This window comes from Homo sapiens, chromosome 20 (genome assembly GCF_000001405.40).
Source record: "Homo sapiens chromosome 20, GRCh38.p14 Primary Assembly".
In the NCBI taxonomy this organism is placed as follows: domain Eukaryota; kingdom Metazoa; phylum Chordata; class Mammalia; order Primates; family Hominidae; genus Homo; species Homo sapiens.
The window spans coordinates 49,704,377-49,716,667 of NC_000020.11; the positions used below are offsets into that span (position 1 = coordinate 49,704,377).

The following is a 12,291-nucleotide window of genomic DNA, read 5'->3' on the forward strand; positions in this document are numbered from 1 at the left end:
ATATACAGTTGTGCTCACTAGCATACCCTGGATCCACTGACATGTAAAAACACAACATTGCGGCCGGGCGCGGTGGCTCACGCCTGTAATCCCAGCACTTTGGGAGGCCGAGGTGGGCGGATCACGAGGTCAGGAGATCGAGACCATCCCGGCTAAAACGGTGAAACCCCGTCTCTACTAAAAATACAAAAAATTAGCCGGGCGTAGTGGCGGGCGCCTGTAGTCCCAGCTACTTGGGAGGCTGAGGCAGGAGAATGGCGTGAACCCGGGAGGCGGAGCTTGCAGTGAGCCGAGATCCCGCCACTGCACTCCAGCCTGGGCGACAGAGCAAGACTCTGTCTCAAAAAAAAAACAAAAAAAAACAAAAAAAAACCACAACATTGCTGTCTTACAACCTACTCTTTCCGGTACCCAATACTCCACAATATTTTTCATCTTTATAATTAGGCTACTAACCACCTAAGAGAACTGTTCATAATTGATGACAGTAATGAAGGTGCCTCAGAAACAATGAACAGGTTCGCTTCTGATTGCTGCAAAGTACCTGGGTAGCTCCGTCACCTGCAAAGGCAGAGGAACAATACCCAGGGTCTAATAATTGCTTACTCAAACTAACAAAAGGAGAAAAAAAAAAGAGGAAGTAGAGAAGGGGCAGCACTCTAAATTATTTAATGTGATTCCCATGCTTGGGAAAACACTGAATTCATGCAACCAGCAGGAGCTGGAATGCTCCTCAGTATAAAAGGCACCATATAAAAAGAATTACTGAATCCAAATGCAATATTCATTTTCATTTAACATCCAACTACCTAGAGGATTGAGGTAATGAGTCTGGGGCTCTATTTCACACTTAAAAGCTGAAGTGTGAAGCCAGAGGAAAGGACTGGCTTAGCAGATCAAAATGTAAAAGGATTAGCCCACAGGACAAAAAAAATGGTCCAAAAAAAGGAAAAAATGGTCTTAACATCCCAAAGATATTTCCAAAAATTCTTTCTGATTTTCTTTCCTTTGACCAAGACAGCACAATTTTCCCTCCCTTCCTTAGTGACAATGATTTCAAAGACAGATTTCCATGTAGAGACACGAAGTCTGGAGTTCCCAGGCTAATGTCCGAAAGCAATGGCACTGCACAGTGGGGACCTTGCCATTCACCCCAAAGACTGAAACTATAAAGTCTGAAGATTACACACAAGCATGTCACCATTCTCACCGCAGCAGTCTGGGGAGGAGATGAAGTCAACGGGAAATCAGAACTTTAAAAGACAGTGTCTTTACTTGACAAAATGATTCCTTCTTTACTTCAAAGGTTCAATTCACACATGCTCAGAATCATGAAACTTCAGATCTGAAAGGGACCCTAGAATCTGCACAATAGTCCAGTCTCCTCAGTTCACAGAAAACAGGAAAAAAAATTCATACCTAGTTATTGGTAAAGTCAGACAGGAGCCCAAACCTAATCTCAGTTTAATATGAGCATGAGACCAAGAGGGCACCTCCTATGGTTATAAATAAGAATCATAAGGCCGGGTGCAGTGGCTCACACCTGTAATCCCAGCACTTTGGAAGGCCAAGGAGGACGGATCACCTGAGGTCTGGAGTTAGAGACCAGCCTGGCTAACATGGTGAAACCCCATCTCTACTAAAAATACAAAAAAAAAAAAAAAAATTAGCTGGGCATGGTTGCAGGTGCCTGTAATCCCAGCTACTCAGGAGGGTGAAGCAGATTGAGAATCACTTGAACCCAGGAGGCGGAGGTTGCAGTGAGCCAAGATCGCACCATAGAACTCCAGTCTGGGCAACAAGAGAGCGAAACTCCATCTCAAAAAAAAAAAAAAAATCATAAACATAAGGACCTTTGTGTCAAGCTCTGTGCTAAGCCCTTTTATGTGCATATTCTACTTAATTCTGACAAGTAGCCTGAGAAAGGTAGTATCCTCTATTTGAAAACAAAATGAATCTGCCCACTCCAAGCTGATCTGAACCCAGATCTCTTTTCAACCACATTGTATGTGCTTCAGGAATATCTTAATAATTCTCAACTTTGGGCAAGTTAATGACTCAACTTGACTTATATGATCATCTATAAATTGACAGATGTAGTCAAAAGTTTAGAATTCAAAGATCTCCCATAACTGATAACATGACACTCAAATGCTGGGTACCTGGGTAGCTCCAGGATTTTAAGTGGATCTTAAAATCCCATTAATTTTTCCTCACAATTTTCTACAAAACATAACTCGTGTGCAAAGGCAAGCATACCTTTATTGGCTACTAGAAAGTGAAGAACAACTGCCCTTTTCCCCACAGTGCACATAGGCCTGCCTCTTCTCTTCAGCCCACACCCAACCTGCTTGCTTACGATTATCTGTTTGTCTTAGCCAGTGGTAACCTCCCTTTTTCTCTATTTCTCTGACAGGCCTCAGCAGCATTACATTGCTCACTTCTTACGTGCTAAGGTTTTTCTTTGCCTTATGTGATTAGATGTGCCGAACATACTTCCAAGATCTAAAAAGCAGCAAAATTTAGGGAAGCAAGAAGTCAATTGTATTCTGGCCTTCTGCTGCTTTGGAATTTCTGCTCTCTCAGAGAGCTCTAAAGAGGCATGGCAACACAGAGCCCCTCCTTCCTGGTGATTATTATACAAGGCTCCCACTGGCCTGTTCAGCTGGGGCGGGGGGAGTTGATGCTGGAACAGAATCATCTGCCGGCTAGGTATCCTGGAACAGTAATTAATACTGTTTGAATGGCTGAGACTATCCAAAACCAACCACTTTCTTTCTACTAAAGAAAATTTCAACTCCAAACCCAAGACCTGGCTTCCAATATAGCAAAAACTCCACAAAGAGAACATAAAACATCACCAAAGTCCTGGTCAAAAGTGGTGCTGTTTACTTTTGTAACATCAACCTGTTCTCCAAACACGGCTTCCTCCTAAGAAGAAGGGACAACACTATACTCAAATATGTGCGCAAGAGTGCATGTGGATTTGGAGCAAAAAAAAAAGGTGTCCTTCACGGGATAAGGCTCTTTAATTCTCTGAAGTGAAGTAACCCATATTTCCCCATATGTATTTCATTCTAGAAAGCTCAGAAACTGAGTGTGCTGAGGGATTCAGAGGGCTTTTTCATGTCAAGAAAAAAAAAAGGCTATTTTCAGACTACACTTGAATGGGGAAAATCTGAAATTTTCATGTGGTTATTAGGAAAAGTTGTATTTGATTATATAAAACATGTATCTTCTCTAAAATCGTTGTTTGGAGACAGGGTCTCACTCTGGGTACCCAGACAGAGTGCAGTGGTTCAATCATGGCTCATTGCAGCCTCGACCTCCCAGGCTCAGGTGATCTTCTGACCTCAGCCTCCCGAGTAGCTGGGATTACAGGCAGGCACCACATCCAACTAATTTTTTTGTATTTTTAGTAGAGACGAGGTTTCACTATGTTGCCCAGGATCGTCTTGAACTCCTGGACACAAGGAATCCGCCCATCTTGGCTTCCCAGAGTGCCGGGATTAAAGGCATGAGCCACCTTGCCCAGCCTTTTTTTTTTTTTTTTGTCTAAAATCTTAGGAATGGCCGGGCACGGTGGCTCACACCTCTAATCCCAGCACTTTGGGAGGCTTTGGTGGGCGTATCATCTGAGGTCAGAAGTTTGAGACCAGCCTGCCTGGCCAACATGGTAAAACCCCGTCTCTACTAAAAATACAAAAAAAAAAAAAAAAATAGCTGGGCATGGTGGCAGGCGCCTGTAATCCCAGCTACTTGGGAAGCTGAGGCAGGAGGATCACTTGAACCCAGGAGGCAGAGGTTGCAGTGAGCCAAGATCATACCACTGCACTCCAGCCTGGGTGACAGAGCGAGAGACTTCATCTCAAAAAATAGTAAGATAAAAATAAATTAAAATCTTAGGACCAATGTTTATGTAGAATGTAAATGAATTATCAACATTCTATATATGAAAGCATCTCACTAGCTTTATTGAGGTATGATTTCTTAAAAATTCTCTAAAAGATTGACTAAGATGCAGTTCTAGTTTTTCAAAGGGCTTTGGGATTTTTTGAAAGTATCAGATCATTGAAATCAAGTCACTTGCTCAAGGTCATTCGATCAAATCAGGTAAGATTAGAATTACTGGCTCCTGCCTTCCAAAAGCCAGCCATAAATCAAATTTCTCTTGGAACTAAGCAGGCCAAAAATGTCAAAATCATTCCCCATCTCTTTTCTTCAGTAATCAAGGAAAGAGAAAAATTAGTTTAAATGTAGAACAGAATTTCAATTAATAAAATGTCATCGGCCAGGCGCAATGGCTCATGTCTGTAATCCCAGCACTATGGGAGGCCAAGGTGGGCAGACCACGAGGTCAGGAGTTCAAGACCAGCCTGACCAACATGGTGAAACCCCATCAAAAATTAGCCGGGTGTGGTGGCAGGTGCCCGTAATCCCAGCAACTCAGGAGGCTGAGGCAGGAGAATTGCTTGAACCCAGGAGGCGGAGGTTGCAGTGAGCTGAGATTGCGCCACTGCACTCTAGCCTGGGCAACAGAGCGAGACTCCATCTCAAAAAAAAAAAAAAAAAGTCATCAATGCATAAACAATTACCCCTAACCATGCACAGGCACCTCTCTTGAAACCGATAACTGTTTCGACAATTTGCTAAGGTCAGTAACCTCTACACAACCTTGCCATATGATGGTACCATAAACTTATTAAGATTTTAAATCAGCACCTCATATGTATATTTATAAATAGCTCGCTTCTGTTATCTTTTAAAAGACCTGATCAGACTGGAGTACGGAAGTACTCTGAGCTCTCGGATTTTTTTTTAAGTTAACAGGTCATAAATAAGTTCAAAAGTTTTCTGCAGAACCCTGAAGGGAATAGGGATATTTCAACATTGCAAATAAAACAAGTGATTAAATAAATGAGAATCATAAAGGCCAGAGGGTAGAGGGTTGAAGAGAAGGGACATCACATTTTTATGCAACATTATTACCTTGCTCCTTATCAAATCCACCACTTTCTCTCTTTCACTCTCTCACTTTCTGTCCCAACCTTCTCCTTTTAAATTGCTGATATAAAACACTACTTCCAAAATTAACAATACAAACACAACTCCCGGCCAGGCACGGTGGCTCACGCCTGTAATCCTAGCACTTTGGGAGACTGAGGTGGGTGGATCACTTGAGGTCGGGAGTTCGAGACGAACCTGGCCAACATGGTAAAACCCCATCTCTACTAAAAATACAAAAATTAGCCAGTGGTGGCAAGCGCCTATAATCCCAGCTATTCTGGAGGCTGAAGCAGGAGAATCCTTTGAACCTGGGGGGCAGAGGTTGCAGTGAGCTGAGATCACACCATTTCACTCCAGCCTGGGCAAAAGAGCGAAACTCCGTCTCAAAAAAAAAAAAAAAATTCCAACGAAGTCGTATTTTTAAAACATTAAATGGATCAAATGGTATTATTATAGTAGCTGAGGGCATTTTATATTTTTTGCAAACACACTATTAATAGTCTTATTTAGTAATTTTCCTCATATCCAATTTTCTATGTGAGATGGTACCCCATTTCACGGATGACTCTCAAGTCCAAGAAAAGTTTCCTTTGCTCTTAGAATACGGGTCACCCACATTAAGTGGCATTAGAGCTCAAAAATACTAAGTTAATGGTTAGGCTGAAATTTTGGCTGGGTTACAGTATACATGGACAATTCATAACATTTATAGCTACATGATTTTTCTTATTTCAAATTCAAGTCTACTATTTCTGAATCTCTTGGAGTGATGATATCTCTAGCCCTTGAGCACAATGTAGCCACAGGGTATACAAAGCAAATCAAAAGCAAGCACTGGAAAAAGTTAAACCTAGAAGGAAATATAAGTCCAATAATTCCACTGTGCCAGAAAACAGAATTGTCATTGGGAAATTTATTAAAGTGAACTACATGAAACTGCTGATATACAACTGTTTTTGACCTGCAAAAACAGAAATTTCATATGGCTCAACCTAATGTTATTTTCTGTTATTTTCTCTCTCTTTTTTTTTTTTTTGTGTGTGTGTGTGTGTATGAGACAGAGTCTCACTCTATCACCCAGGCTGGAGTGCAATGGCGCAATCTCGGCTCACAGCAACCTCTGCCTCCTGGGTTCAAGTGATTCTCCTGCCTCAGCCTCCTGAGTAGCTGGGATTACAGGCACCTGCCACCACGCCCGGCTAATTTTTGTATTTTTAGTACTGACAGGGTTTCACCATCTTGGATAGGCTGGACTTGAACTCCTGACCTCATGATCCACCCACCTTAGCCTCCCAAAGTGCTGGGATTACAGGTGTGAGCCACCACACCCAGCCAACCTAGTATTATTTTCTAAGCTCATTTTAATAACTATTCAAATAAGGTCTTCATAACCCAAGGAACACAAAACAACCTTCTATTTCTCCAGATTGCCTTAACCTTGAAAAAATTTGCCGCCCCACTGTCCAAAGCTAGACATTCTAAAAATTTAAGTTCAACAGAGCCTGTGCATCATAGTGAGATCCTGTCTCTACAAAAAACTGTTTTAAAAGTTAGCCAGGCAGGGTGGCATGTACCTGGAGTCCCAGCTACTCAGGAGGCTGAGGGAGGAGGATCCCTTGTGCCCAGGAGATCAAGGCTGCAGTAAGCTATGAGCATCACTGCACGACAGCCTGGGCAACAGAGACTCTCTATCAAAAAAAAAAAAAAAAAATTAGTAGGAAGGGCAAACAGCTAAATGTAACTACTCCACATCCTTTTTTTATTGTTCCCCTTTCTCACGAACAAAATTTCCATCCTAAGTAGAATTCCCCTTCAGAAGGCTTACATTCAAGGGGATACAGTACTAATGAAAATGTAAGTGCTCTGCCTCTTTTTCAGCTATCAGTGATATAGGATTCTAGGCATGGCAGTAGCACATCGCTTTACACAGGGGTTCCACTGACCTAAAAATCTACTGTTGAGGAATCTTAATTAAATTGATAAGTTCCATTTCTGTTGAAGAATCTGGCTTCTAACCTTTCTATCAAAAGGGTGATTACCATCCCAGTGGGATATAGTTTTCCATTTAGATATAGCTGATTTATGGACTCAGACCAGAAGTACCTGTCACTTTCACAAAAGGAGAAAAAAAGGATTATGGCTCTAAGACTGCCTCTAGGTCCAAATCCCATCTTTTCACACCCATTTTTATTAGAGTCTAATAGCCAACATGCTAATGAACTCTTTTCTCAGTTAATTCCACTAATTAGTTATCTCTTCTTGTTCTGCCAGAATCCCAACCCTTTTACAATCTACTCATCAAATCCATCAGGCCACATATTATGCCTTCCTAGAGGAACACTTTTCGTGATGACACTTTGTAAACAAGGCAATCTGATGCTGCCTGTTCTATCTTCCCAGATCTAGTTGATAGTTCAAAACATCAACATTAACCACAAGTAAAATATGCTTAAAAAATAATCAGGAGACGATCTCCTGCTCTATCTGGAAATTTCTCTATTCAGCTAGTTCTGCGTTGACAGGTCAACAGAGAATGGCACTAGTTATTGCTACAATCCTAAAAGGCATTTCCCTACAGCTAAACCATCAACCCTTTCCTAAAATCCATATAATCCAAAATTTTTCTAGCAGAATTTACTCTCCCTGCCCCTACCCCAGCAGCATCTTCTGATCATTTTTCACCATAAACTGAGGTTTCCTCATAGTGATGCCAAGTCAGGCAAACACATTCCTTAAGCGTTCCACCTAACTCCCTTCTTCCTGGAAGTTACATGTAATAGCTGCCTTTATTTACTTATTTTTAAAACTCTTCAAGCACCAGGTACAGTGGTAAGTGCTTTTAAAGAACATGTATCTACTTCCATCCTTAACACTGTATGAGATTGGGACTCACATTCCCATTTTACAGAGGAGAAATGCAAAGGCTTAGTAACCTGCCCAAGGTCATACAGGGCAGAGATTGGAATCCAAGTCTGACCTCTGTGTCCTCCGCTCTTAACCTTCATGCTGTCTTTCCTTCTGATCTCTTCCTGTCCTAACTGGTGCCCTGTGGTCTTATAAAAGACTATGCTTGGGGCAGGCGGGGGAGGGGTGGGAGGGTCAGTTTCTCCAGAGACCGCCTTTCCTTTAAAGGATAAGACTTTGAAAAGAAGGAGTACCCATTACATCTTTCCTCCATGCTCCCCCTTCTCACCTGGTACCATTTCCCAAAGGCCCCAATCATATCCCCTTCTCTACGGACAATTTAAACTTCTCCTTTGTCCGCAGAGCAGGCACTATCCAATACTGAAGAACCACACCATCTACCCTCAAGGCTAGGAGAGGGCAGAAGTGGAAGAAAGAACACAGACAGCACCCCTTCCCCAGGTCTTCAGTTGAGAAAGAAGCTGTGGCTGAAAGTCTGGGGGGCTGGGGGCAAAGGTGACAAGGATGTGCCCTTGTGGGTACGCGAGGTGGGGGGGGGGGAGATGGGGAAGAGGCATGGGACGCTCAGGGGATTAGCAGGAGATTGAATGGGGGTGGACCTCTGTAAGGGGAAGGGGGGTGCCACCGGCAGGCAGAGAGATCAGGCCACTGAAGAGGTGAACGTGAGTTAGGGAGGAGGACCTGGAGGTGGATGTAATAGGGGAAGTAGAGGAAGAAAGGGGAGGGAGGGGGCTCACGGGAGCAGGAAACGATGGAGTCATGGGGAGTGGGGGAGGATGGATGGGAGCTAGAAGGTGGGGCGGCCTGGGACCCGGGCACATGGGCTCGGCGAAGAGCGGGCGCGCCGCGGGGGACTGGGGTGCGGGGAATGCCGGGAATGGGGGTTCGAGGAGACCCCGGGGAAGGGAAGGGGAAGCGGGAGTTCTCGAGCAGAGGAGCGGGAAGTGGGAGTTCCAGCGAGGCAAGAGCGGGAAGGGGGTTCCGGAGCAAGGGGCGGGCGTGAAGGTACAGTCGGGTTCGCGAGGGTGGCGTTAGGAGGGGCGGGGTGGGCCGGAGGCTGGCGCGGGAGAGGGATCCCGGGCGCCTGTTGGGGTGCGGAGGGCAGGAATGTCCTGGCGTCCCCGAGAGCCGGGCCAGGACTCCGGAGTCTTCGGAGGACCAGGCTCAGGGCCGCCTCCCGGCCGGGGCCCCTTAGGGAGGGGCGGGGATTCCCCGGGTCCCTCAAGGCCAGAGCGGCAGCCGCCGCGGTCCCAAGCCCCCTTCCTACCTATGCCGGGCGCCACATAGACGAAGTACAGCAGCGAGGACGAGAGAGAAAAGAAGAAGAGCGCGGCGAGCAGCGAGCGGCGCGGCAGCCGCAGCAGCCCCCGGCGGGCGCGCATGCTGCAGCCAGGCGGCCGCTAGAGAGCCAGGCCGGGCCTGCTCCCGCAGCTCCCCGTCCGCCGCCTCCTGGGCCGCCGCCGCCACCGCCTGGGCCTCGGCCACCGCCTCCCGGGCCTCGCGGGCCGCCACTCGCCGCCGCCGCCGCCTCGCCGCTCCCAGCCGCCGGCCGTCGCGGGCCGGGCCACATGAAGCGGGCGGGGGCCAGAGCGGCCCCGAGCGGGCGCAGCGGCGGGGGCGGAGGCGGGGCGCACGCGCGGGAGGCGGGGCCAGTGCCGCCGGGCACCGTCGCAAAAGACCCGCGCGCTTGCGCTCGCCGCCGACCCTCGCTCGGCGCCCACAGCAGCCCGCATGGAGTAATCGCCAAATGGCGACAGACCCTCTCCCAGTGCGGCCACCGCCCAGGCTTTCGGGGAATGTCTCCCAAGTGCTCCGCGCTAGCTCGTCCCCCATCTCGGGGGCCAAGGGGCCATCTACAAAGTCTGACTCATCTCGTTGCCCACTGCAGCAGAAGAGTGGGGACTGCAAGGCTTGGGGGTTCGGCCTGGTATACACCCTCATTCATTCATTCATTCATTCATTCAATTCACCATTTATTTATTGAATGCCAGACACAGTTGTTGGCGCTGGGCATGCTACAGAGAAAAAAAACGATAAAAATCTCTGTCTACTTGAAACTTACATTATGTGAGAGATAAAAGAAACAAATCAGCTAGTAATATCAGGTACTGGTAACACATATGAATACGATAAAACAGGAGGATGTATTGCAGGCAGGCTGGAGTGGTCAAGGAAGGCCTCACTGAGCAGTGACACGAACTGAGATATAAAAGGGTGAGAAAGCGCCAGCTTTTTTGAATAAGCTGGGGAAAAAGCAGTCATACCAGGGGGAACAGCAGGTGTAAAGGCCCTGAGGTAGGAAAAGGGCTGATCTGCCCCCGAGTTGAATCCAAGGCCAACATGGATAAAATCCAGTGAAGTAGGGGGGGAAATAGGGATGAGCTTGGAGCTGTAGTCAGGGATCCTACTGTATCAGAAATAGCATAATGATAACAATTGTCAATGTCTCTAGACTTCTGCTGAGAAACATGGACTTCACTCATGCCATGAAATTCCCCCACCAGTCTTGAGATGTGTGCTGTTATTATTACTATCATACAAATGAGGAAACTGAGGTTTCTAGATGGAAAGGCAATTCACCCAAGCCTTGCAGTAAGGGCTTAAATCAAAACTGGCCTGTCTCCCATGTCAGGCCCTTGACCTCTAGGTTGTAACTGTCTCAGCAGTCTGTATGACCTCTAATTCTTATCCTGCAGGCAAATCGGTATCCTATCCCCATCACCTGGGTATGGGACCATATCCAAAAAAATGCTTTCAGATCAGCATCAGCTCAAAGGACCTCAGAAGGCAATGAACAGTCCTAGAAATTTATGGCAAGAAGCAGTAGCCTCAAGGAGCTGGACTGAGGAGGCCAGTGTCCCTGTGTAGACATATCTGAAACTAGGGTACTGTCTTGGAATGCCAGAAGCAGTGGGGAGGGGAGAGGACTTTGCAGGGATTCTGTGAGAATCAACAATAATTCTGATTTATATTCCTAAAGTGATTTCTACTTTTTACAGTGTTTCTTTGATCCTTTAAGTGGGGAGTCTAGAGCCACACTGCCCAGGTTCTCTGACTCCCAGCTTTTCCATTGTTAGCTGTGTGACCTCACGCAAGTTAAACTCTCTGTGCCTCGGTAAAATGGAGGAGGTTATTAGCAACCTCATCAGGTTGTTGCGAGGATTTAAGTAATACATGCAAAGTGCACATAGTAAGAGTGCTTAGCTGTCACCTAATTCAATACCCCTGGAGAATGGTATGGTGGAAGAGAAGAGGCTTAAACGATCAAAAAGGAAAGCAGAGAATTTTGACTCAGATAGATGTGAGTTCAAATCTCGGCTTGGCATCTCCTGGCTGTGTGACTCTGGGAAAGTCACTTACCTCTCTGAGCTTCTCTATTCATCACCTGTGAATCGGACCCAGTGCTGCCCACCCCACGGGGATGTGATGTGGATTCGATGAAATAGTGCAGGTAAGGCCCTGGACCAGAAATCCCAGACTAGCCGGAATCATCTAACTTGCAAATAGTTTTTGTTGGCCCACACAATGGCCCCTCCCAACCCTCGTATCTATGAAACATTTTCAAACATACAGAAAAGTTGAAAGAATAGTACAAGAAACATCTGTACACTCCCCACCTGGATTTGATCATTGTTATCATTTTTCCACATGTATGTATCTATATTCATATGTTGAAAATTTTTATTTTTTGCTAAATATTTAAAGGTAGGCTGGGCGATTACACCTGTAATCCCAGCACTTTGGGAGGCAAAGGCAGATGGATCGCTTGAGCTCAGGAGTTTGAGATCAGTCTGGCCAACATGGCAAAACTCCATTTCCACAAAAAATACAAAAGAATTAGCTGGGCGTGATGACGTGTGCCTATAGTCCCAGCTACTTGGGAGGCTGAGGTGGGAGGATCTCTTAAGCCCAGGAGGTGGAGGTTGCAGTGAGCCAAGATAGCGCCACTGCACTCCAGCCTGGGAGACAGAGTGAGACCCTGACTCAAAAAAACAATAAAAAAAAGTAAGTTGTTGCCTTACTAGTACTTCATGCCTTAATACTTCAGTAGCAAATCCTAAGGAAAATTACATTATCCTTCAAAACCACAGTAATACTAAGAGAATTAACAATTATACCATAACATTCTGTAACATCCAGTCTGTTCTGGATAGACAGAGAAAGAGAAACCTTCCTACATTTAAACTATGTACCAATGATCAGTCTCTATTTCTGACCTATCTGAAATAACAAGGCATCAAAATAAATTGGTTATGTTTTAGGCCGGGTACAGTGGCTCACGCCTGTAACCCCACCACTTTGGGAGGCCGAGGCAGGCAGATCACTTGAGGTGAAGAGTTTGAGACCAGCCTGGCCAAC

At 45.8% G+C, this 12,291-nt stretch overlaps 1 protein-coding gene across 1 annotated transcript in view, besides 2 other annotated features; it reads right to left on the reverse strand.

The window, feature by feature from the left end:
- The window catches only part of B4GALT5 (beta-1,4-galactosyltransferase 5), an 80,934-nt gene extending 71,432 nt beyond the window's left edge, over positions 1-9,502 (reverse strand). Inside the window, exon 1 of the mRNA NM_004776.4 lies at positions 9,200-9,502. Coding sequence (NP_004767.1) covers positions 9,200-9,314 — 115 coding nt within the window. The 5' untranslated portion in view covers positions 9,315-9,502. The remainder of the gene's footprint in view (positions 1-9,199) is intronic.
- Positions 8,975-9,094: a silencer, noted in NCBI's record as "silent region_13002". NCBI's record gives its function as "represses an Ori minimal core promoter by ATAC-STARR-seq in GM12878 lymphoblastoid cells {active_cell/tissue: GM12878}" and the evidence as "EXISTENCE:reporter gene assay evidence [ECO:0000049][PMID:35858748]".
- Positions 9,385-9,714: a silencer, noted in NCBI's record as "silent region_13003". NCBI's record gives its function as "represses an Ori minimal core promoter by ATAC-STARR-seq in GM12878 lymphoblastoid cells {active_cell/tissue: GM12878}" and the evidence as "EXISTENCE:reporter gene assay evidence [ECO:0000049][PMID:35858748]".